At 36.6% G+C, this 24,907-nt stretch overlaps 1 protein-coding gene across 21 annotated transcripts in view; it reads right to left on the reverse strand.

Annotated features, from left to right (window-relative positions):
- Positions 1 to 24,907, reverse strand: part of BRIP1 (BRCA1 interacting DNA helicase 1) — a 184,390-nt gene that overhangs the window by 30,376 nt on the left and 129,107 nt on the right. For 13 of the 21 annotated variants that reach the window (XM_047436893.1, XM_047436891.1, XM_011525333.4 and 10 more), the window contains one exon: positions 6,437 to 6,549. In XM_047436893.1, the coding sequence (XP_047292849.1) occupies positions 6,437 to 6,549 (113 nt within the window). Of the gene's footprint in view, positions 1 to 6,436; positions 6,550 to 24,907 lie in introns of those variants that run through there. The other 8 variants (XM_047436903.1, XM_047436895.1, XM_011525339.4 and 5 more) reach the window with 2 other exon arrangements.

Raw genomic sequence — 24,907 nt, forward strand, 5'->3', positions numbered from 1 at the left:
TGTCAATACTACAGAAGAGTATTGAAAGTCAATGGAAAGTCAGTGTGCCACTGTATTTTGGTTCCAGTTTGATTTATGTTTAAAGCATTCTATGGTATGGTAGAAAGGTATTTCTGTTAATGAAACAATTCAAAGAAAAAAGATTTCACCTTTTCTTTTTACCATTGTTTTCAAACTGCCTTGCTTAAATGAATTATGCCGGCTTGAGACAAAGATTATACTTTCAGTAAAGCAACAAAGACTAGTTAGAAAACTCATAGTGCAGTTGTAACCTGGTTGCAAAACCATCTTGTATGTTTCCAAAGGCTGTTCTTGTATTTCATAGACTTATATTACTTCAAATACTCTAACAGTCCCATGTGTGCTTAAAAAAATTAACATTAAAAGGAATCCATTGGTTTCTGCTTACTTTAGATCTTCTGTATCCCTTACAAGAAGAGTGCCTCAGAGTATAAGCACCTTTTCTGTCAATCAATATACATTATGAGTTTTATTAAATAACATAAAACATTTGCTTGGTCTTTATTTTTTTAATTTAAAAAATTTTACTTATTGATTGGTTTTAAAGGGTAAGTTCCTTTGTAACAAATTATTAATTATTGACATTATTCCCTGAAAATCAGTAAAATGATAGCTGGGCTCTCCATTTAAAAAAATTAATAAAATTCTAAAAGTACAGTATTATATATCAATACTATAAATACATGATTTTTATGATATTCCAGGAAAGCATGTTTTGAAGCTCTAAAAGCTCTCTGGGCAATGTTGTATGGCAGGAAAAAGCACTGAACCTCACATTTTTCACTAATTCAACAAGCATTTGAGACTTAGTTGGTTGCTGAGAATGTAACAACGTAACACATGTTCAAGGAAGAAAACAGATAGGCTATTACAATACAATGAGATATGTGCTATAATACAGATAGCAACCAAAATGCTATAGGTTTACTAAGGTATAAATAACTCTAGTTGGAGAAGTTTTAAAGGTCCTCATAAAGGACATGACTTTCAATGAGGTTTTGATTGCTAAATTTGCCAAACGAATTGTATGATAACTTATAAGCCAAGGCAAAGCATAATGAAAGAATATAGCATGTTTGATAGTTTAATACTGACATACTTATGTTTAATAGTGAAAAATTCGGTGGCTAGAGGTAGAGGATAAGGATGAAAAAGCAGGTATTACAGTTTTAGAAATGGATGGGAACAAGATGTAAAGGGCCATTTAGTAGCCATGTGGCCTTAGAAAAATAATTTAATTTCTCACAACCAGTTTAAAAACAATTCAGGCTGAGGCAGGTGGATCATCTGAGGTCAGGAGTTTGAGACCAGCCTGTCCATCATGGTGAAACCCCGTCTCTACTAAAAATATAAAAATTAGCTGGGCATGGTAGTGCGTGCCTGTAATCTCAGCTACTCAAGAGGTTGAGGCAGGAGAATCGCTTGAACTTGGGTGGAGGAAGATGCAGTGAGCCAAGACTGCACCACTGCACTGGGCGACAGAGCGAGACTCCATCTCAAAAAAAAAAAAAAAACAAACCCAAAAAAACCCAAACAAACAAACAAAAACAAAGCAAATCAAATAAAACATCAAGTAGCAACATGCATTGCTACTGGAAGTGATTGGTAGAAGAATCAAATGAGATAATATATGTGGAGAAGGTTTGTAAACGAGAAAACCACATACAAATATGACTTCTGTTTCACATGGTTTCTTGAAATTCAAGGCATTGCTTATACTAAAAGGAAGAAAAAAATCAACTGAGCTAAGAATACTTATTTTCCGCAAATTGAGTATAATGACTAAAAGTCAACAATTTCAAAAATATATTCAAGCGCCCCTAGAAACTATTAGCTGAATATTAAAATTCAAAAAAAAAATGTCAATCAGCAGGGAGACACAAAGTAAGCAGATGTGATGCTTCAATAACCTTCAGTGCAACTTGATTCCAAGTAAAATGGGATTTCTAGGGAAAAAAGGGGAGCAGGATCTCTGTAGCTTAACCATAGACCTGAATCACTCAGTTTGAAGAAAAACACATGCAGAATACCATTCTAAAATGATGGGGAGTGGCTGGGTGTGGTGGCTCACGCCTGTAATCTTAACACTTTGGGAGCCTGAAGCAGGAGGATCACTTGAGGCCAGGAGTTCAAGACCAGCCTGGCCAACATAGCGAAACCCGTCTCTACTAAAAATACAAAAATTAGCCAGGCGTGGTGGCATGTGCCTGTAATCCCAGCTACTCAGGAGGTTGAGGTAGGAGAATCGCTTGAACCTGGGAGGTAGAGGTTGCAGTGAACTGAGATCGCACCACTGCTCTCCAGCCTGGGAAACAGAGCAAGACTCTCTCAAAAAAAAAATAATAATAATAATAAAAACAAAAATAAAAAATAAAATGATGGGGAGTACAGTGGGTGACATGTTCTAGGGCTTAAATCTAGTTGTTGTAGTCTTATGTCTAAGCTATACACAAATACACATAGCTTATGTATTTGTATATATATACATATAGCTATGTCTAAGCGATACACAAATCTGAACCCACATGCCATCTGGTTTACAAATGGGCTAATGTAAATACACAAGACACCAGAAAAATAAAAATTTTTTATTTGACTGGTTAAGATTATGATTAGTTGTGGGACTTCTGGTTGAAGTGCAAATATGTCAACTGATCATGTTTTCATGATTTTACTCTTAACCAATTTCTTTTTTTTAGATGGAGTCTCCCTCTGTTGCCCAGGCTGGAGTGCAGTGGCGCAATCTTAGCTCAACGCAACCTCCACCTACCAGGTTCAAGCAATTCTCCTGCCTCAGCCTCCCCAGTAGCTGGGACTACAGACACACACCACCATGCCCAGCTAATTTTTGTATTTTTAGTAGAGACGGGGTTTCACCACGTTGACCAGGCTGATCTCAAACTCCTGACCTCAGGTGATCCACCCGCCTCCACCTACCAAAGGGCTGGGATTACAGGCATGAGCCACCTCACCTGGCCCAACCTGTTTCTATGAATTATCCAAATGCCTTACAGCTTCACTAGGAAATAAATAATTACATGGTGAAGTTAATTAAAATTTCATAGAGAATATAAAATATTAATTTGTGGGCCGAATGTGGTGGCTCACGCCTGTAATTCCAGCACTTTGGGAGGCCAAGGCAGGCGGATCACAAGGTCAAGAAATCGAGACCATCCTGGCCAACATGGTGAAACCCCATCTCTACTAAGAATACAAAAATTAGCCAGGCGTGGTGGTGCGAGCCTGTAGTGCCAGCTACTTGGGAGGCTGAGGCAGGAGAATTGCTTGAACGCAGGAGGCAGAGGTTGCAGTGAGCTGAGATTGTGCCACTGCACTCCAGCCTGGCTACAGAGCGAGACTTCATCTCAAAAAAAAAAAAAAAAATTTAATTTGCACAAAACCTAATTATAGCATTTACAAATTAGATGTTGATGCCCTACAATATGAAATTAAGGGATAGTAATGCACCACATAATGATGTTTCAGTCAGTGTGAAGTGCATATATGATAGTGGTCCCATAAGATTATAATGGAGCTGAAAAATTCCTATCACCTAGTGATGTCACCATTGTAACATTATAGCACAATGCATTACAAGTGCTTGTGGCGATGCTGGTGTAAACAAACCTACTGTGCTGCTAGTCTTATAAAAGTATAGCACATACAATTATGTATGGTATATAATACTTGATAATGATAATAACTGTGTTACTGGTTTGTGTATTTACTATACTGTACTTCTTATCACTACAGTGTACTCCTTTCACTTACATTAAAAAAAAAGTTAACTATAAAACAGCTTCAGGCAGATCCCTCAGGAAGAATTCCAGAAGAAGGCATTGTTATCACAGGAGATGACAGCTCCATGCATGTTATTTATTGGTCCTGAAGACCTTCCAGTGATTCAAGACATGGAGGTAGAAGACAGGGATATTAATGCTCCTGATCCTGTGTAGGCCTAGGATACTACATGAGTGTTTATGTCTTCATTTTTTTTTTTTTTTGAGATGGAGTCTCGCTCTGTCGCCCAGGCTGGAGTGCAGTGGGGTGATCTCGGCTCACTGCAGCCTCCACCTCCCGGGTTCAAGTAATTCTCCTGCCCCAGCCTCCCAAGTAGCTGGGATTATAGGCACCTGCCACCACATCCAGCTAATTTTTGTAGTTTTAGTAGAGATGGGGTTTCACCACGTTGGCCAGGTTGCTATCGAACTCCTGACCTTAAGTGATCTGCCCACCTTGGCCTCCCAAAGTGCTGGATTACAGGCTTCAGCTATTGCGCTCCCCATGTCTTCATTTTTAACAGAAAAGTTTAAAAAGTAAAAAAATAAAAAATAAAAATTTCAAAAATAGAAAAAGCTTATAGAATAAGGATATAAAAATTATTTTTGTACAGCTGTATAATTTGTGTTTTAAGCTAAGTGTTGTAAAAGAGTCAAAAAGGTAAAAAAAAAGATAAAAAGATAAAAAGTTTATAAAGTAAAAAAGTTACAGCAAGCTGGGCACAGTGGCGTGTGCCTGGAGTTCCAGCTACTTGGGAGGCTAAGGTGAGAGGACTGCTTGAACCCAGGTGTTCGAGACCAGCCTGGGCAACATAGCCATACCTCATCTCTCAAAAAGAAAAAGTCAGAATAAGCTCAGGGTAATTTATTATTGAAAAAATAAAAATAAATAAATTTAGTATAGCCTAAGTGTACAGTGTTTATAAAGCCTACAGTTAGTGTACAGTAATGTCCTAGGCCTTCACATTCACTCACTACTTGATCGACTCACTCAGAGCAACTTATAGTCCTGTAAGCTCTATTCGTGGTAAGTGCCATATACATTTGTACCATTTTTAATATACTGTATTTCTATACCATATCTTTACTGTACTTTTTCTACACTTATATACTCAATTACTTATCCTTGTGTTACAATTGTCTATAGTACAGTAACATGCTGTATAGGTTTGTGATCTAGGAACAATAGGCTATATCATATAGCCTATATGTGTAGTAGACTATACTATCTAGATTTGTGTAAGTACATTTTATAATGTTCCCACAACAATACAATTGCCTAACAACTCACTTCTCAGAATATATCCGTTATTAAGTGATGCATGACTGTATAAAATAATGATTTAAAAATGAGTCTCACAAAGCACAAATCTTAATGGGCAAGAATATTTAGAAGTCGGAGTATCATGATTAAATGTTTAGTTGGTGTTAATTCTTTAGGATCACGATTATAGTTTGTTTTAACCCTTCTTCAATGATTTGCTAATTTTTTTTTTTTTTTTTTTGAGACATGGTCTGGCTCTGTTGCCCAGGCTGGAATGCAGTGGCATGATTTTGGCTCACTGCAACCCCCACCTCCCAGGCTCAAGCGATCCTCCTACCTCAGCCTCCCGAGTAGCTCACATCTGTAATCCCAGCACTTTGGGAAGCTGACGTGAGTGGATCACTTGAGGCCAGGAGTTCCAGACCAGCCTGGCCAACATAGTGAAACCCCATCTCTACTAAAAATACAAAAATTAGCTGGGCATGGTGGCGCACGCCTGTAATCCCAGCTACTCAGGAGGCTGAGGCAGGAGAATTGCTTGAACCTGGGCGGTGGAGGATGCAGTGAGCCGATATCACGCCACTGCACTCCAGCCTGGGCAACACAGTGAGGCTGTCTAAAACAATAATAATAATAATAATAATTAATTATTTTATTTTTTCTTTAATTATTAAATATCCTTCAGTTTCAATGTTATCCTTCAACATTATCACTATACATAAAAGGCACAAGAAAATATAGATTGTAATCACATTGTTATCTAAAGCTTACAAATAACATTAAAATGAAAATGATTTTTTTTTCTGTCAGATGTCTTCTTTACATAGAAGCAGAATGAAAAATTGTGCAACTACAGAAGCTCACTGGGCAGTAAAATAGATTTTGTTTCTATTTGATGATATTTTAACAGATACACAGATTCCGTACTGAAAGTACACTTTCAAATAGAATATCTCCTCACACTGGCTGGTATATCAATTTTCTTCCCTGACATTTTGGGGGAGGTGAGGAGAGAGGTCTGTTTATCTATAAAATTGTTATCTGAGCTTTGATGTTCACAAGACAAAACTTTTTTGATTTGATAAGCTTTCTTTAATATTTACTGAGCATCTTTGTGTGCTATTCATTGTTAGATCAATCACAAAATTTCTTTAAACTTTAGCAAATTGTGAGTTTTGTTTTGGGAATAACTTATTCTTCTTACTCTTTTCAAATTCTACTTGTGACAGCTATCATTGAATACATACCAGTTCCTATGGTTCCAGTTAAATAAAATTTTACCAAGTTTATTATAAAGAGTAAAGTAGCAAGACTAGATTTATATATATAGCCCTGTCACAGATAATATTATATTAAATTTCACTCCACTTACCTACCAAGGGCCTGGTTTAAGGCCCTGTATGCTTGAATTTCATACCACTGACGGCCAGGTAGAAGACCTCTCAATTTTGAATGGTGGTCATTGTATTGTCGTTTTAGTTCAACCTAATAATTTTAAAATATATTTAAAAAATTAGTAGATAATTAAAGCTCATTTTAAACATCATATTAACTTCTAACAGTTTGAATATACATATTTTTAGGGTAGAGATTTTATTTTGTTTTTCAGTACTGATTTTTTTCGTTTCATTTAAAATAGTTTTATTTAGCTTCACATTCCTTAAATTACCTAATGCATATAACTAATCAGCTGTGTGATCTCAAGCAGTTTTATTGAACTTACATTCATTAAATCCACACAATTTTCAGTGTACAAGTAGGTGAGTTTTGACATATATAGTAATGTAACCACCATCATAATATAGAACATTTTCATCACCCCCAAAAGTTCCCTCTTATCCCTTTATAGTAAATTTCTTTCTTCCACTGCTGGCCCTGGCAACCACTGATCTGCTTTCTGTTTTGCCCTTTATAGAATTTCATATAAATATTATCATATACTATGTAATGACTTGTGACATTTTTCATTTAATATACTTTTAGAATTCATTCATGTTGAAAGGTTTATGAGTAGTTCATTCTTTTACGTTTATCCAGTCTGGTAATCTCTGCTTTTTAATTGCAATGTTTAGACCATTTACATTTAATGTAGTTATTGTTATGATTGGGTTTAAGACTACCACCTTGCTTCCCCCCTACCCCCCCAATCTGTACCATTTTGTTTTTATCTTTTGGATCAATCAAGTTCCCCCCTCCCCCCATATTATTTCCACTACTGGAAATAATATGCTTCCATATTATTTCCACTACTGGATTATTAGCTATGTCTTTGTGTGTGTGTGACTCCTCTAGGGTTTATGATATACATCCTTATTAGTCTACCTTAAAATAATATTTTACCACTTCACATATGATGTAAAAACAATACCACAATATACTTCCATTTCCTTTTATTGTCCTTTATGCTATTGCTGCCATACATTTTAGTTTTATACATGCTATAAACCCATAAAACATTTTGATTATGCTTTAAACAGTACATTATCTTTTAATTTTAAATAAGTTTATAATTTTGAAATAAGTTTAGATTTACAGAAAAGTTCCAAAGATAGTACAGAGATTCCTTATACCCTTTACCCAATTTCCCCTAATGTTAACATCTTATATTACTATAGCTCATGTCAAATTAAGAAATTAACATTAGTACATTAGTATTAAATAATCTATGTATTTTATTCAGATTTCTGTTTTGTCCCAAAAGATTATCTTTTAAAATATACCGTATTTACCCACAGATTTACCATTTCTGGCACTCTTCATTTTCTCACGTAGATTTAAATTTCCATCTGGTATCATTTTCCTTCTACCTGAAGAACTTTCTTTAATATTAGTAGTGCACGTTTGCTAGCAATGAGTTCTTTCAACTTTTCTTTTTCTGAAAAGACTTCACTATCTTCATTTTTAAGAGATTGTCCCACTTGATCAAGAATTCTAAATTGACAGGTTTTTTCTTTTGTTAAAGACGGCTTTTCATTGTTTTCTGATTTGCATAGTTCTGAAGAAAAAATATGCTATTGTCCTATCTCTGTAATGTTCCCCTTTCTTTTAGCGACTTTGGATTGGATTACAGTGTGCTGTTGTGTGTATTTTGCTTGCGTTTTTATTAAGCTTCTTGGACCTGTGGGCTTATAGTTTCTATCAAACTTGAAAAATTTTCAGCCATTATTTCTCTAAATATATATATTATTCTGCCTCGAAACTCTTCTTCTTAGACTCCAATTACAACTATATTAGACTACTTTATATTACTCCACATGTCACTGACCCTCTTTTTTTTCACTCTACACTTCATTTTGGATAATTTTTATTTATAAGATTTCAAGTTCACCAAATTTTCCTTCTGCAGTGTCTAATCCATCCAGTGTATTTTTTGTTTCATATAGAGAGATTTCACATAGGTATTTAAAAAATAGCTTCTGTTTCTCTTTTCAGTATGCTTATGTTTTCTGCTATCTTCTTTGAACTTACAGAGCATAAAACATAAGATATTTTAAAAATCCTTGTCTGCTAGCCAGTTCTAACATCTCTGTCATTTCTGGTTTTGTTTCTATTGATTGATTTTCCTCTGTATTATGGGTTAAATTCTCTTCTTTGCATGCCTGCTAATTTTTGATTGGATACTAGACATTGTGGGCATTAAGTCAGTGGTTACTGGATTTTGCTGTGAATGCAATTAGGGTACTTGGAACCAGTTCATTCTTTGGCAGCTTTGTTAGGGAAAGTCAAGAGCAGCCTTTAGTCTAGGGCTAATTTATCCCCCATACAAAGGTGAAACTCTACTGATGATTGTTTCAAGTACCCCATGTGTTATGAAGTTTTTCTCTTCTGGCTGCTGGGAACTCAAACTATTCCCAGACTTTGTAAGCACTAGGAAGTTTTCTGCCTACTCATTTCCCTGGCCTTATGTAGCTTCCTCTCATGTATATGCCAATCAGTACTTGACCAAAAACTTAAGGGGACGCCTATGCAGATACCTGGAGCTTTCTCTCTATGTAGCTCCATCCTCTCTAGTACTCTACCTTGCAAATTCTAGCTGCCACGGACTTTCCCTAAACTTTATCTCTTTAACTCAGTGTGACCACTGAGCTCTGTTTGAGTTTATTCTCCCTGAACTGTGGCCTAGTAATTGTCTCCAGGTAATAATCTGGTGCAATTGTAGTATTCCAGGACAAGTATATCAAATGGTACAGTTGTCCCTTGGTATCCATGGGTGACTGGTTTCAGAACTTCCCTCAGATACCAAAATCCATGGATGCTCAAGTACTTGATACAAAATGACTTAGTATTTGCATAACCTATGCATATCCTCCTTTATACTTTAAATAATCTCTGGATTACTTTAATAGCTAATATGATGTAAAGCTATGCAAATAGTTGTTACATTGTAGTGTTTAGGGAATAATGACAAGAAAAAAATCTGTACATGTTCAGTACAGAAGCAATTTTTTTTCAAATATTTTTGATTCACACTTAGGTGAATCCACAGATGCAGAACCCATAAATACAGAGGGCCAGTTGTGTATTTTTGTAGTAGAAGCCTAAATAAAGATATGTGGAGTTACTTTCTTGAAGGAAATCATTATATTGAAGAGACATTGCCCCCCCCCCATGTTTATTGCAGCACTATTCTCAATAACCAAGATATGGAATCAACCTAGGTATCCAACAACAGATAAGTGGATAAAGAAAATGTGGTATATATACACAATGGAATACTAAACAGTCATAAAAATGAATGAAATCCTGTTATTCACGGCAACATGGATGGAACTGAGGACACTACCTTAAGTGAAATAAATAAAAAACATAAAGTTAAACACCACATGTTCTTGCTCATATGTGGAAGCTTAAAAATGTTAATCTCGGCCAGGCACGGTGGCTCAGGCCTGTAATCCCAGCACTTTGGGAAGCTGAGGCGGGTGGATCACAAGGTCAGGAGATCAAGACCATCCTGGCTAACACGGTGAAATCCCGTCTTTACTAAAAATACAAAAAAATTAGCCAGGTGTGGTGGCAGGCGCCTGTAGTCCCAGCTACTCGGGAGGCTGAGGCAGAAGAATGGCATGAACCCAGGAGGCGGAGGTTGCAGTGAGCCAAGATCGCACCACTGCACTCCAGCCTGGGTGACAGAGTGAGACTCTGTCTCGGAAAAAAAAAAAAAGGTTAATCTCATAAAAATAAAAAGTAGAACAGAGGATACTAGCAGATGGGAAGGGGAGAAGGAAGGGAGGGATGGGGAGATATTTGTTTTTTGTCTTGTTTTTTTGAGAGACAGGGCCTCAGTCTGTCCCCCAGACTGGACGGCAGTGGTGCGATCATGGCTTACTTCAGCCTTGACCTCCTGGGCTCAAGTGATTCTCCCACCTCAGCCTCCCAAGTAGGTTGGACTACAGGTGTGTGCTGCCATGCCTGGCCAATTTTTTTCTTTTTTAATTTTTATAGAGATGGATTCTTGCTATGTTGCCTATGATGGTCTCCAACTCATAAGCTCAAGAAAACCTCCCACCTTGACCTCCCAAAGTGCTAGGAATACAGGCATGAGCCACTGCGTCTGGCTGAGATTTGTTAAAGGATATAAAGTTACAGCTAGATAGAAGGAATAAGTTCTAATCTTTTATACCACAGTAGGATGACTATAGTTAACAATATTACATCATTTCAAATAACTAGAAGGAGGAGATTACATGTTCCATACACAAAGAAATGATAAATGTTTGAGATGACAGATACGCTAATTACCCTGATCTAATCAATAAACATCATATGTATCAAAACATCACTATGTACCCTATGAATATGTACAATAATTATCTGTCAACTAAAAAATAAAATAAAGAGTAAACTTCTTGGAAACATTTTAGGCTTTCAAGATATATTAACAAAACTTATACAGCAGTTCCCTCTTATCTGCAGTGGTTTAAGTTAACTGCGGTCAACTGTGGTCCAAAAATATTAAATAAAAAATTCCAGAAATAATTTATGTTTTAAATTGCCCACTGTTCTGAGTAGCATGATGACATCTCATGCTATATCCTGCTCCATCCCACTCAGATGTGAATCATCCCTTTGTCCAGTATATCCATGCTGTACATACTACCCACCAGCAGTTAGTAGTTACTTAGTAGCTGTCTAGGTCTAATCGAGTGTCATGGTATTGCAGTGCTTAGGTTCAAGTGACCTCTATTTTACTTAATAATACTTTACTAAATTGTAAACCTACTCAAGAAAAAACAAAGTATTTTCCGTGTACTCTATAACACTGTTAACTTTTTCTTTTTTTTTTGAGACAGAGTCTCGCTCCATTGCCCAGGCTGGAGTGCAGTGACATGATCTTGGCTCACTGCAACCTCCGCCTCCCAGGTTCAAGCAGTTCTCCTCTCAGCCTCCCAAGTAGCTGGGACTACAGGCGGCCGCCACCATGCCTAGCTAATTTTTGTATTTTTAGTAGAGTTGGGATTTCACATTGTTGGTCAGGCTGGTCTCAAACGCCTGACCTCAGGTGATCCACCTGCATTGGCCTCCCAAAATGCTGGGATTACAGGCGTGAGCCACTGTGCCCAGCCACTATTAACCTTTTTAAATAAAAGAACATGCTTTAGGAAAGAAAACAGAACAGTACACTTCTGAAAAGCAGCTTTCAAATTGGGAGGTCAAAAAATTTTATCTTACTGTAAAAATAAAATCTAAGCTTTTTTTTTTTTTTTTTTTTTAACACGGAGTCTTGCTCTGTCACCAGGCCGGAGTGCAGTGGCGCGATCTTGGCTCACTGCAACCTCTGCCTCCCAAGTTCAAGAGATTCTCCTGCCTCAGCCTCCCGAGTAGCTGAGACTACAGGCGTGTGCCACCACGCCCAGCTAATTTTTTGTATTTTTAGTAGAGACAAGGTTTCACCATGTTGACCAGGATGGTCTCGATCTCTTGACCTCGTGATCCACCCGCCTCGGCCTCCCAAAGTGCTGGGATTACGGGCGTGAGCCACTGTGCCTGGCCAAAATCTAAAAACCCAAAACCCCACCCTTTTTATTTTACATTCCCTCAAAAGAATCTGTCAAATTTCTAAAATGAAACTTTACAACTAGAATATAAAGGACATATAAAGGACATAGACTTTGCCTTTTTTTTTTTTTTTTTTTTTTTTGGACAGAGTACCGCTCAGTCACCCAGGCTGAAGTGCAGTGGTGCGATCTCAGCTCACTGCAACCTCCACCTCCTGGGTTGAAGTGATTCTCCTGCTTCAGCCTCCCACGTAGCTGGGATTACAGGTGCACGCCACCATGCCCAGCTAATTTTTTGTGTATATATATATTTTTTGTTTGTTTGTTTGTTTTTTAGTAAAAACAGGGTTTCACCATGTTGGCTAGGCTGGTCTCGAACTCCTGATCTCAGGTGATCTGCCCACCTCAACCTCCCAAAGTGCTGGGATTACAGGTGTGAGCCACCACGCCTAGCCAACTTTGCTTTTTTTTTTTTTCTTTTTTTTTGAGACGGAGTCTTGCTCAATCACCCAGGCTGGAGTACGGTGGCATGATCTCGGCTCACTGCAACTTCTGCCTCTTGGGTTCAAGTGATTCTCCTGCCTCAGCCTCCTGAGTAGCTGGGACTACAGGTGCATGCCACCATGCCCAGCTATTCTTTTGTATTTTTAGTAGAGAGGGGGGTTTCACTGTGTTAGCCAGGTGATCTTGATCTCCAGACCTGGTGATCCCTCTGCCTCGGCTTCCCAAAGGGCTGAGATTACAGGCATGGAGCCACTGCCCCCAGCCCAACTTTGCTTTTTAGGGCAACATAAGTAGTAAATGATAACATAACACCATAGTAAATATTAGATGATATGTTAATACCCTCCCTGGAAATTCAGCAATAAAGCACATGATAATTAAGACTATAAGAAAAAGTACTTTTAAAATTCTGTCCAGCTGGGAAAAATATATGTATTTCCTACCTATCTCTCAAAAATGTAACTAAAGCAGCTTCTCTTCTTTAACAATATTTTCCTCAAAGAAAGTTGACATCTACTTTGTCAGACATAATAGCTTATGTGTTTTCAAAATTTCCTACACCATGGACAGACTGATACATTATAGTGGTCACTGTTCCGAAGACAACAGTTGCTCTAGGACGTATTAGTTATAAATGGAATATTTAGAGTGAATGTAGCAACTATTAGATTAAATAAAATTATGACTCCTTGGTCTTCTATTTTTCATTAACATAATTAAAATTTTCTGTATGGCTACATTGTTTTAATTTATTGCAAATTTTCAAACACCTTTTACACTCCAAATGGCCTTTAAAATACTGCCAATATTTTACCCAGGGGAATTTATTTTAGATAAAAAGTTTAAAAACCTACAAAAGAACAAAAAACTCCCAAACAAAAAACAAAACCCTGAAATGAACTGTATATAAAGGTTAACTTTGAAATAGTTCTTATTACATAAACAGATTTTTAAAATTAATCAATAATAAAAATTACTTTGTGAGATCACAGTTAATTGGAAAAAGCAAAACTAAGGGTTAAGAAAAGGTGGAAAGTGAGTACACCTCATTTTAATGACATCAGAATCTATTTCATTGTACACTTAGGGATTATCAAGCATGAAAATCAATGACCAATTTAAAATGACATACAGCATATGTGAAAAAGCCAGTTTCTCCTGCCAGCAAATAGCCTAAATGTTAAGTAAACCAAAGGCTGGAAGGGATTAGTTGAAATGTCAAAAGACAACCTTTTACTTTTACCTGCTCATCCTTATAAACACATTCTTATCTCTCAGGCATGCTTTCCAAACAAATAGTTTCAATGTGCACCACCAGCAAAAGGCCCAAGGCAAGCTCTGCCATCTTGTAACTGTCAAAGAGATTAGTCTTTGATCTATTTGGGAGGTCATGCCCACATTCACATTACCTTATAATCTAACAACATTATACCTGTTGACCAATGCTTCCTTAATGCCTAATGAGACAGACATTTTACATTATGGAAGTTAACTGTGAATGTTTTTTCTAAGTTTTGACAGAAAGTAAGCACCATAAACTGAGCTCAAGTGTGGTTTGGGAAGATGATCTTTTAGATCAGTTAACATTACTTTTCAAATACATTTTACAAGCCTTTCCCAAAATAGAAAGCTATACTTAATTGTACTTTTTGGAAACAGTTAAACTACTTGCTTCCCATCCCCAATAAATTAGTGTATGTGTAATTTTGGAGGGGTGTGAAGAGCAGGAAAAAGACAAACTATTTTATTAACAGTTGCAAACTGAAGGCCCATAGTTGTGTTTTGTGTGGCCCTTACTGTGGCTTAAAATAATTAAAATTTATTTGCTACCATCTAAAACTTTGGCTATCTCACCACTGTCCTCAACTAACCCACTCATTTAAATAACCTGTTTAATTCATGTAGCTGCTTGAGTTTGCAACCCATTGGTTCAGATGCTGCATAGATTCACAAAAATTTATCATTTCATAATTGAAGGTCAAGTTTGTACCAAATGTAAAGCTCCCTTACTATGATAGTTTTTAGACAAATAAATATATATCTGCATCAAAATCTAACCTAACTGACATAAGTAGAAATAAGATCCTCAATATCAAAGGCATTGATAATTAAGACTGAGGCGGTTTAGAATTGGGTAAAAATACCCAATAGACAGATGGCATTCAAGCAGAAGTTATATGATTTTGGATTCTGATTTTTACCATTATATCATAATGTACTTGAGATTGAACAGAAAGTTTCTTAAGTTCTCCATGCCTTGGTTTTATTGGAAACAGTATAAGTAGCAGAGCACTTATAGCAGCAATAGACAATATGAAATAATCAAAAGGATTATACTGCATATGTCAACGAGAAATTAAGGTCACAATTATTAACATTAGACTTTTTCAACTTTCAGTCAAACTCTTTGCACAAAAGTAGCCTTTTTAAAGTTTATCAGTAGCTTCTGAAAAAATAAATGGTGTGATAAATATGAGCTAGAACTATAAATGCATCTCTTCATTTTACTGCTGCTTCACATGAAAGATGGTGGATTTTATCCCAACTCATACCAATACATATTATGATTTCAGTAATAAATGCCTTCCTGAAAGCAATCAATAGAAGAATATAATTTTTTTCTTGTATGTAAGCTTGAAGACAAAAGTTCAAGCCTCCAAATGAGACTAAGGACAAATAATCAGCTAAACTACATAATTATAAAAATATTAAGAAAACTCTGCTTCAGAAAAATAAACACATTTGTCTAGCAAACACTTGAGTAGAACAGTTTTATCTTTAGCCAAGGTGCAGGGCCTAAAGCCTAAACATTTACAGCAAACCAAATCTGGAAGACAGAGACTGTGCATTAGAGACATTTGCTGCTCCGTATCATCATAGTGTAAACACTTCTATCAGGGTATCACAATATAAATTCCAATGGTTAGAATTATAAACTCAGCATAAGATCTTGTATGTGATATAATTTAGCTAGATTAAAAAGAATATAGCTGGTTTTATTTCATCTGGCATATTTTCAAGATTTCTGACACAGTTAACCAAATAGTGTGTGTGTGTGTGTGTGTGTGTATATACACTTTTTTTAAATGGGGAAAATGAGTTAGTTTCTGCCAAGAGTTAAGAAGCCAGGCTCCCTTTTAAATAAGAATAATAATGATAAAAGCACATTAGAAATGGTTTTTAGTTGTTACTTACTTTCCCTGTTACGTTACAACTTGACCACAATAATCTATCAAGACATAGTAACAGCAATATATTTCACATATGCTTTAAGACTGTTTTGGATAAGGTGCTTTTTTTGGTAGAGAAATCTATATTAAACTTAGTATCGCTAATTGTCAGTGTTGACTAAAATAACCTGGATATTTCAAATTTAAGAAATAGAACAAAATATATCCCTCTGAAATCAGGTATCTCCTCTTCTCAACATATTCAGCCTCAACTGGTTATAAAAATATAACCAGTTTTTCCTATTAAAAAGTTAATACTCTAAGACATGCAAGAAATCTTAGCATGCTTATTCTGTAAAGGGCTAAGTTAAAGTTTTCATTTTTATTTTTTAGAGACAAGGTCTTGCTCTGTCACCCAGAATGGAGTGCAGTGGCATGGTCATAGGTCACTGCAACCTCCAACTCCTGGGTTCAAGCAATCATTCTGCTTCAGCCTCCTCAGTAGCTAGGACTTACAGATACGTGCCCCAACACCAGGCTAATTAAAAAAAAAAATTATTTTAGAGACGCAGTCTCACTACATTGCCCAGGCTGGTCTTGAACTCCTGGCCTCAAACAATCCTCCTGTCTTGGCCTCCCAAAGCTGTGGGATTAAGGTGTTATCCACCATGCCTGGCCTAAAAAATTCTTTTTAAGAGTAATGACCTTTGTGTCAATTTAGGTAGGTTATCCATGTTAAAATATTACTCAAACAAACCTGCAAATGTTTAAATTATCATCTCTAGAACATGCCACCATTCGTGTTATAGTTTATTTTGAGGAAGAAGGTATAATGGAAAAAAAGAAAAAGCACACGGCTTGGAATCAAGGCCTTGAGACTTAGGTTGTTTGACCTTGGACAAGTCACAGTAGCCCTTTATAATTTCCTTTCTCAATTTCTTCGTCTGTAAGAAGGGGCTTAGAATTAGAAGTCTCTTAGCTTTATTGAAGTTGGAGACTGTGTGCCAACCTTACCTTAGAGAATTGGTTGAAGAAATAAATGACAATATGCATGAAACAGTAAAGCATCAGATACTAGAGGTAAGTGGACGAGAAAGTCATTACTTACCCCATATTTCTGAAACCCAGTGTAGGTTTCAGTGGACTTTAAATGCTGTCGTAATATATTGCTGCATGGTATGTGAAATAAGCCATAAGGCTGTGGAGGCCATATAGTCATTACCTTAGTCAGTTCACCCCAAATCATTTTACCACCTGGACCGATTCCTTCTGAAAGAGCTCTGACTACATTATTCAATGTTTGGCACATAACTTTAGGTGACTTAAAAAGTAAGTTTCTTGGGTTCTTGGAGTGGCTACTTTTTCATCAAGTGTCAATGAAAATATATACATTGGCAGAATACATACAGAACAGTGTTCAAACAGTTTTGAAACAAATATTTTAAAAAATAACTTCTACAATTGATCTTAAATTTTCTAAGAAATTTTAGCTAACATTAGCACTCTTTAATATCCTCCATAATACTTTTTGGTCACTTTTCAACTTATGAAGTGTTTTTGAAAGCATAACTATATAAAATATGCTAGTGGTGTAATCTATGAGAATGAGTGCATGATTGGTACCATATTAGTCTAAATATTATTTTATTCAAATATCTTACAATCTAGAGTTTTTCTTGTTAAAGTCACATATGAGAGCCCGATAACTGTGAATAAACTTTTGCTAGCAATAACAACTAACAAAATAAAATATTATCTTATGTAAGAAAGCAGTAAATAGAATCAGAGGTTCTTAAAGGAATGAGTCAATATTAAGAGGATTTAATAAGGGGACTCAGTAATGGTGCATTCAGCAGGTGACAGAGACCTACTTCTACCTTATATAACACTGGAAAAAGGCAAGATTGCTCATGGAAGAGGCTTTTGGATGCCAGAAGATGTAATATGACGCATAATGGCACTCAGGGAATTATATAAAGGTTCCTGGCAATAGTAGCATAAAAAGTAAAAGTTAATCCCAGTGAGAGGAGGCTCAGACTCAGCTTTCATATGATTAAACCCTAACATCTAAAAACAAACCTAAGCAAGAGCGAGCATGTACATAAGAAAAAAGATTAAATGAGTACTGGAAAATGCTGAAAATACACTTAAAACTTTATTACCACCACAGTCCAAAAGATGAAGTATAACACTTTTGCTATCTAGATTTTTATTATTACATCCAAATTATATTTCAGGGCCAGGTGTGGTGGCTCACGTTTATAATCCCAGCACTTTGGGAGGATGAGGCAGGAGGATCACTTGAGGCCAGGAGTTTAGGACCAGCCAGGGCAACATAGCAAGACCCTGTCTCTACAAAATAAAAATTAGCTGGGCATGGTGGTAGGAGTCTGTAGTCCCAGCTACTTAGGAGGCTAAGGCAGGAGGATCATTTGAGCCCAGGAGTTTGAGGCTGCAGTGAGCCATGATCTCACCACTGCATTTCATTGTGGGCAACAGAGACTCTGTCTGTCTGTCTGTCTGTCTCTCTCTCTCTCTCTCTCTATATATATATATATAATCTTTCAAACATGAGCAAAGGTTTGATTTTTTTTTTTTTTGAGACACAGTCTTGCTGTGTTGTCCAGGCTAGAGTACAGTGGCATGATCTTGGCCACTGCAACCTCTGCTCCCTCAGTTCAAGCAATTCTTGTGCCTCAGCCTCCACAGTAGCTGGGATTACAGGTGTGTGCTATGACGCCCGGCTAATTTTTGTATTTTTAGTAGACACGGGGTTTCGCCATGTTGGTCAGGCTGGTCTCAAACTCCTGACCTCAAGTGATCCACCCGCCTCAGCCTCTGAAAGTGCTGGGATTACAGGCGTGAGCCACCGCGCCTGGCCACAAAGGTTTGATTTTTAAAATATATGATCACTTTCTACCTTTGAAATATTATTGCCAAGAATATTTGATTCAGAGCTTTTCAAATGTGAATGTGAGTTTTGGAATAAGACATATGGAATCATAGCACTTTGATAACTCATGCTTTATCTTAGAAAGTAATGCAGACTTCTGATTTCAATAAGTCAAAAAAAAAAAAAAAACCCCAGACATTTCTTTTTCCCTCACCTGTCAGAGAAACTGCCTTTAAATTAAAAGACAAATAGGAAACAGAAACACAGTCTCCAACTTCAGTAAAGCTAAGAGACATCTGATTCCAAGCCCCAATATATGAACATAAAAGGTAGATGGACAAATGTTAAATGACTAAGCAGAAAAGAGAAAGTTCAAACCAACGTATCCACAGAGCTACTGCTGGGACATAAGCCAGTTTGACCTGCAGGAGTTCAGAAAGTCTCAGGAAATGGAGGTATAAGGAAACTGTTGGGAGGATGTGTACCGCAAAGATGAAACAGTAAGCAAGAAACAAGAGGAAGATCTGAGACCCAGGAAACTGGCAATCCATCACAGAAGACAGACAAATCAAATTCCTAGGATGATAGCAGTTATTGGATGATAGCAGGATATTGGCAGTTATCTGGGCTTGATGAGCAATTTAGCCCTGACCGAAGTAGAAGATCAGGAGGCTCCAGAAATGATATCTCCAGGAGAAAAAAGGAACTGGCCTGTTATCTGACAGGTCTGATAGAAAAACTGTATTGAGAGGCATGGCACACAACTATTGGAAGGTGACACATTTATTTAGATAAAGATCTTTTAAAAAGAGAAAAAGGAAGTGGAAGAGAGGAGGGTTCTATCAACCCTAAAGTTCAAAACAGAAAGGAGGACGGGCGGCTGTAACCCCAGCACTTTGGGAGGCTGAGGCGGGCGGATCTTCTGAGGTCGGGAGTTCGAGACCAGCCTGACCAACATAGAGACACCCCATCTCTACTAAAAATACAAATTAGCTGGGCGTGGTGGCGCATGCCTGTAATCCCAGCTACTCGGGAGGCTGAGGCAGGAGGATCGCTTGAGCCTGGGAGGTGGAGGTTGTGGTGAGCCAAGATCACGCCATTGCACTCCAGCCTGGGAAACAAAAGCAAACTCCGTCTCAAAAACAAAACAAAACAAAACAAACAAACAAACAAAAAAGAAAGGAAATCATTTGATTACAGTGAACAGTATTTTCATAGTCATGATAATGTACATAATAACTATAGATTTAATTAAAAATTGTAATGTAACTATCTTGGGAGGCTATAAGAAGGAAAAAGCAGAGTAAGTGAGGTAAAATCCTGTCTCAAATAGGAATTTAATAGTTCATGTCTAAAACTGATTAAATAAAGATAAAATATGGAGGTAAATACCAGATAAAATAGCTAAAGAAGTGAAAGTCACTGCCTGTCAGAAGCAGGGGCTAGAAGTGGGGTGCAGGCCAAAAGACTGTTATAAGAAAAAGCTATCTACTGTATTTAGTGTATATTAGACTCTTGGTAAGTGCTTTATTGGACGTTTTTCAACTTGATAAATCATAATTTAAAAACAAATGCAGATTATTAATTTTAATTTATTGTATACATTTGTATGCCTCACTATGTAAAACAGTGGTGCTCAACCGAGAGCAATTTTGCCAACCAGAAGATAATGGCAATGTCTAGAGATATTTTGGGTTATCACAACTGGTGGCAGGGTGACCGTGGGGGGTGTCTAGATCCCACTACCGGCATCTAGTGGGTAAATGCTAGAGATGCTGTTAAACATCCTGGAATGCACAGGACACTCCTCGGAACAAAGAATTACCCAGTCCAAAATGTCAATAGTGCCAAGTTTGAGAAACACAGCTTGAAAGTAATTTCAAGTCACAAATCTGGTATACTTGATGCAGTAGGAAAATACACTGAGTTATTTGTATAGCTTACTATAGTCACTGACGCACTGGGGTGATGTGTCCTACAGTTACAAAGTATAAACTGAACTCATTCCCAAGCTTTCAAGCCTTTAATCCTAGGGAAAAACAGGAAAGAGTGATGTTGTAAACATGGAACAGCAATATCTACTACAGTTTATGTTATTTGAGACCTTAAAGCTTTACAGTTAGAAAAAAAAGTGACATAGTCACCTGAAGCCCCTCTACATGTCTACAATCTGTAGGCATTGAGAGAATTTGACTGAATAAACTGATTAAAATTCACAACTAAAATTCTCCTCAAAAGAAAAAAATTAGTTATTTTCAGAGAAGCTAAAAAACAATCCCACCACTGCCCTTAAGGTAGAGCTGCTGATTATGCTCCATGCCAACATAAGTAGGTAAGTGTCAATCAACCTTACAAGTCCTCAGGGTGATAATTTCACTTTTAAATCCTCCAACCTAGTTTGAGAGCAAAATTAATATATAAAGGTCAAAGTTCCTTTTCTCACCAAAAATAAGATGAACACAAGAAAATAACTTCAGAATTGTTCAAAAATCAAAACCAAAAGTTTTTATTTATTAATTATCCAGAGAAACTTCCAGCAATATTTTCAGGCATGGCTTTATGTATTTATTTATTTATTTTTTGCTAAGGAAATACAATGACATGAGTATTAGGAGAAAAAGGTTATCAACCGAACTTGCTTAAAATTTTGGGATTTTAAATATTTCCATCCTTGATCCCAAAATATCTTTTAAAAATATGGAGAATTTAAAAATTAACCTCAGCAATTCATCCATTTGTTTTGTGTTTTTTTGTTTGTTCATTTGTTTTTCAGAAGGGATGGAAACAGAGGGGTTTCATTAACTCATTTTTTGCTGGCCAAGGTAAATATACAATTTATTAACCTAGACAGCTTACTTAGATTTAAACTAGGTTTTAATTTTGGAATTTCAAGATATACTTAGAAACTGCTTTCAAAATACTTTTGGCCAAACTATCTTAAAAAAAAAAAAAAGCTGGGGAAAAAAATACTCTGAGGAGGAAAAAAAAGGTTTAAGTAATTGAGGATATACTCACTCTAGACTTTTAGAGGTGACAAGGTTTTTTCTTCTATATCTGTGATGGAACCTAAGTATTTCCAAAAATTCCAAGAGCAAGTTGCTGAACTTGTAAATGTTAAAGAGTTAAGTATTACAGCACTTTAAGTTTATATTCACATCCATTTCCCCTGGGTAACCATGTATTATTATCAGAGCTATATCCAGGTGGGTCTCTGTATCAGATGCAACACTATAACCAGAAGTCCACTCCACTCTGACCTCAGGCTGTATTCCTGGATCTGGTTTCCCATAACTTAGAATGTCCCAAATCCTGAAAATGGCATACAGAGTCCTAAGTGATTTGGCTCCTAAATACCTCTCCCAGCTTCTATTCACATGCCATTCTCTCAGACTCACAACTTCAGCTTCTTTCAGTTCTTGGAAACTGCTATCCTCTTTCAACCTTAGAACCTTAACACATGCTGTTCTCTCTGTTGAGAATACTCTTATCCATTCTGTACACATTCATAACTCCTAGTTTTCTTTCCAGTGTCAGGTTAAATATCACTTCCTCAGGAAGCCTTTCTTGATCCCCAAAGACCTGCTATAACATTCCCAGGGTTCCTGTGACTTTTTCTTATAGCCTTTATCACAACTGTGATTGTTTCTTCATTACATTAATGTCAATATTCCTTGCTAGACTATAAGCAACATGAGACAAGGGGCTATAAACTGTGTTGTGTATCACTCTGTCCCCTGAGTCTATTATAATACTTGGTGCTCTAGCCAGATATTAAAAAAAAAAAAGGTTGCTTTATTATTCTGAATAGTTGCTTTTTTTCTTTTCTTTCTTTCTTTCTTTCTTTTTTTTTTTTTTTTTTTTTTGAGACAGAGTCTCTGTCACCCAGGCTGGAGTGCAGTGGAGCAATCTCGGCTCACTGCAACCTCCCCCTCCCAAGTTCAAGCAACTCTAGTGTCTAGTGTCTCAGCCTCCCAAATAGCTGGGATTGTGCCATCACACCCAGCTAATTTGTGTATTTTTAGTAGAGAGAGAGAGTTTCATTATGTTGGCCAGGTTGTTCTCCAACTCCTGACCTCAAGTGATCCACCCACCTCGGCCTCCAAGTGATGGAATTACAGGTGTGAGCCACTGCACCCGGCCTATTCTGAATAGTTTTATAATCTGAATAGTTTTGTTGTAATCTAACCTCTGATGAGGCCATTCCACTTTATGAAATGTTTGTATATTTGAATCTCACTGTAGAGAAGATTCAAATCTCATCTCTCTGGCTCCTCCATCCCTTTTAGGCAAGTTAGTCAAAGTAAATTGGTATCTGCAAGGGAGGCGAAAGGTGTTGGTCAACTTCAGCTTTCCTAAGCATCTGAGCACCTGGTTTCTATTCCACCAAAGCATCTTGTTATATGTTCCTGTTCTTCCATAAATTATTGACATTACTAGTGTAGAGACAGCATCTTGTTCATTTTTACACCTACTGCATTTTGTACAAATTAAGCTCTTAAAAAAAGTTTGTTAAATGAATGAATAAGTGCATGACAAAACATTCAATATCATTAACATTTTTTTTTTTTTGAGACAGTGTCTTGCTCTGTCGCCCAGACTGGAGTGCAGTGGCGCAATTTCAGCTCACTGCAACCTTTGCCCCTTAGGTACAAGTGATTCTCCTGCCTCAGACTCCCAAGTAGCTGGAATTACAGACGTGTGCCACCACACCGGGGCTAATTTTTTGTGTTTTTAGTAGAGACTGGGTTTCACCATGTTGGCCAGGCTGGTCTCGAACTCCTGACCTCAAATGATCTGCCCACCTTGGGCTCCCAAAGTGCTGGGATAACAGGCATAAGCCACTGCACACGGCCGTCATTAACATAGTTTTGATAGAAGAGTAATTCAAAAGGGATTTATAAATCTATTCAAAAGGAACAGATGAATCTACCTAAAAGGTTTCTGAAGTCAAGTTCCTCTTGATATACTACAGTCCTTTGCATTCCTGCCCTCATTCATTTTCTCGTGAATATTCATATTGCCGTCAAAGCAAAAGGAATAACAATGGAACAATATCATTCTCCTTAAAAAGAAATCTGTTAGATTTAAGAATTCTAATACAGCCAGGTGCAATTGGCGCGAGTCTGTAATCCCAGCTGCTCGGGAGCTGAGGCAGGAGGATCATCACTTGAGCCCAGGACCAGCCTGGGCAATATAGTGAGACTCTGTCTCAAAAAAAATTTTTTTTTAATTCCAATACTACCATCATCTGATAATATTTTGACAGTTGAAAGCACTGGTTTAACATGGTTTAATGTGCTTTATTACTTTATTAATGCTGTTATCCTTTAGGGAAAGCACCCTTTTTCTGTGGTTTATAAAATGCCAACAATGCATGGAAGCCTATCAATTTTTTTGTGTGTGTTTGTTATAAAGTCGATAAGTAACTAATATAACTAAAATAGATGTCTGAATTTTTCAATCATAAATGTAATTTTAAAAAATTGATTAAAATAATATATACCCAAATAGTTTGGTACATTGAGAGCTAAGATAAGTTTCCTAAACAAAAAAAGGAACTCATAATGGTTATTGTATGCTAATAGTAAGATAGACAATTCAGATCACTATGCGAATTTTAAATAGTTTCCAAATAAAATCTAGTTTGGTAACTCAACATACTATATTACCAAAAAAACCCACAAATATAAAATTTATTAGCATGATAAATTATTTTAATCATTGTAAGGGCACTTCTGACAATGAAAAGTACCATCAAATTTTATTAAACCAATTATAAAAATCTAAACACACCACTTCAACATTTTAAAAATATAAACATTTTTAGCCATATGCCATGGTTTTATACATTTTTCTTCAGAGAAGTAAAGGAACAATACCTACGAAGGAGAACTTTTCTATATACTATTATACTATACTATGCTAGGCAATACAAATAAAATGCAATTTTAAAACCTAAATATATTTGTACCTTATCATATCTCACAAACTATGTCCATGTCACCAATTGGAGAGGTGGATGCCTCAATTATAAAGCTGAATACTCCTGTGGTTGTTAGATCACAGTAATTGGCCAGAGGATTTGCTTTAGATATCCATTAAAAAGGCAGCCTTGTTATACTGTGATTTAATTACATGAAAAAGAAAACAACTTTTATTTTAGTTATACTTTTCCATCGACATCTAGTCATATAAAAGCCTTGGTTCATTCTCATGCCCCTCAAATGCTTTGGTTTAGTGCACAGAAAGTTTTCTTTTTAACTATTATACGATTAAGTATA

The sequence above is a fragment of the Homo sapiens genome, chromosome 17 (assembly GCF_000001405.40).
Source record: "Homo sapiens chromosome 17, GRCh38.p14 Primary Assembly".
NCBI lineage: Eukaryota > Metazoa > Chordata > Mammalia > Primates > Hominidae > Homo > Homo sapiens.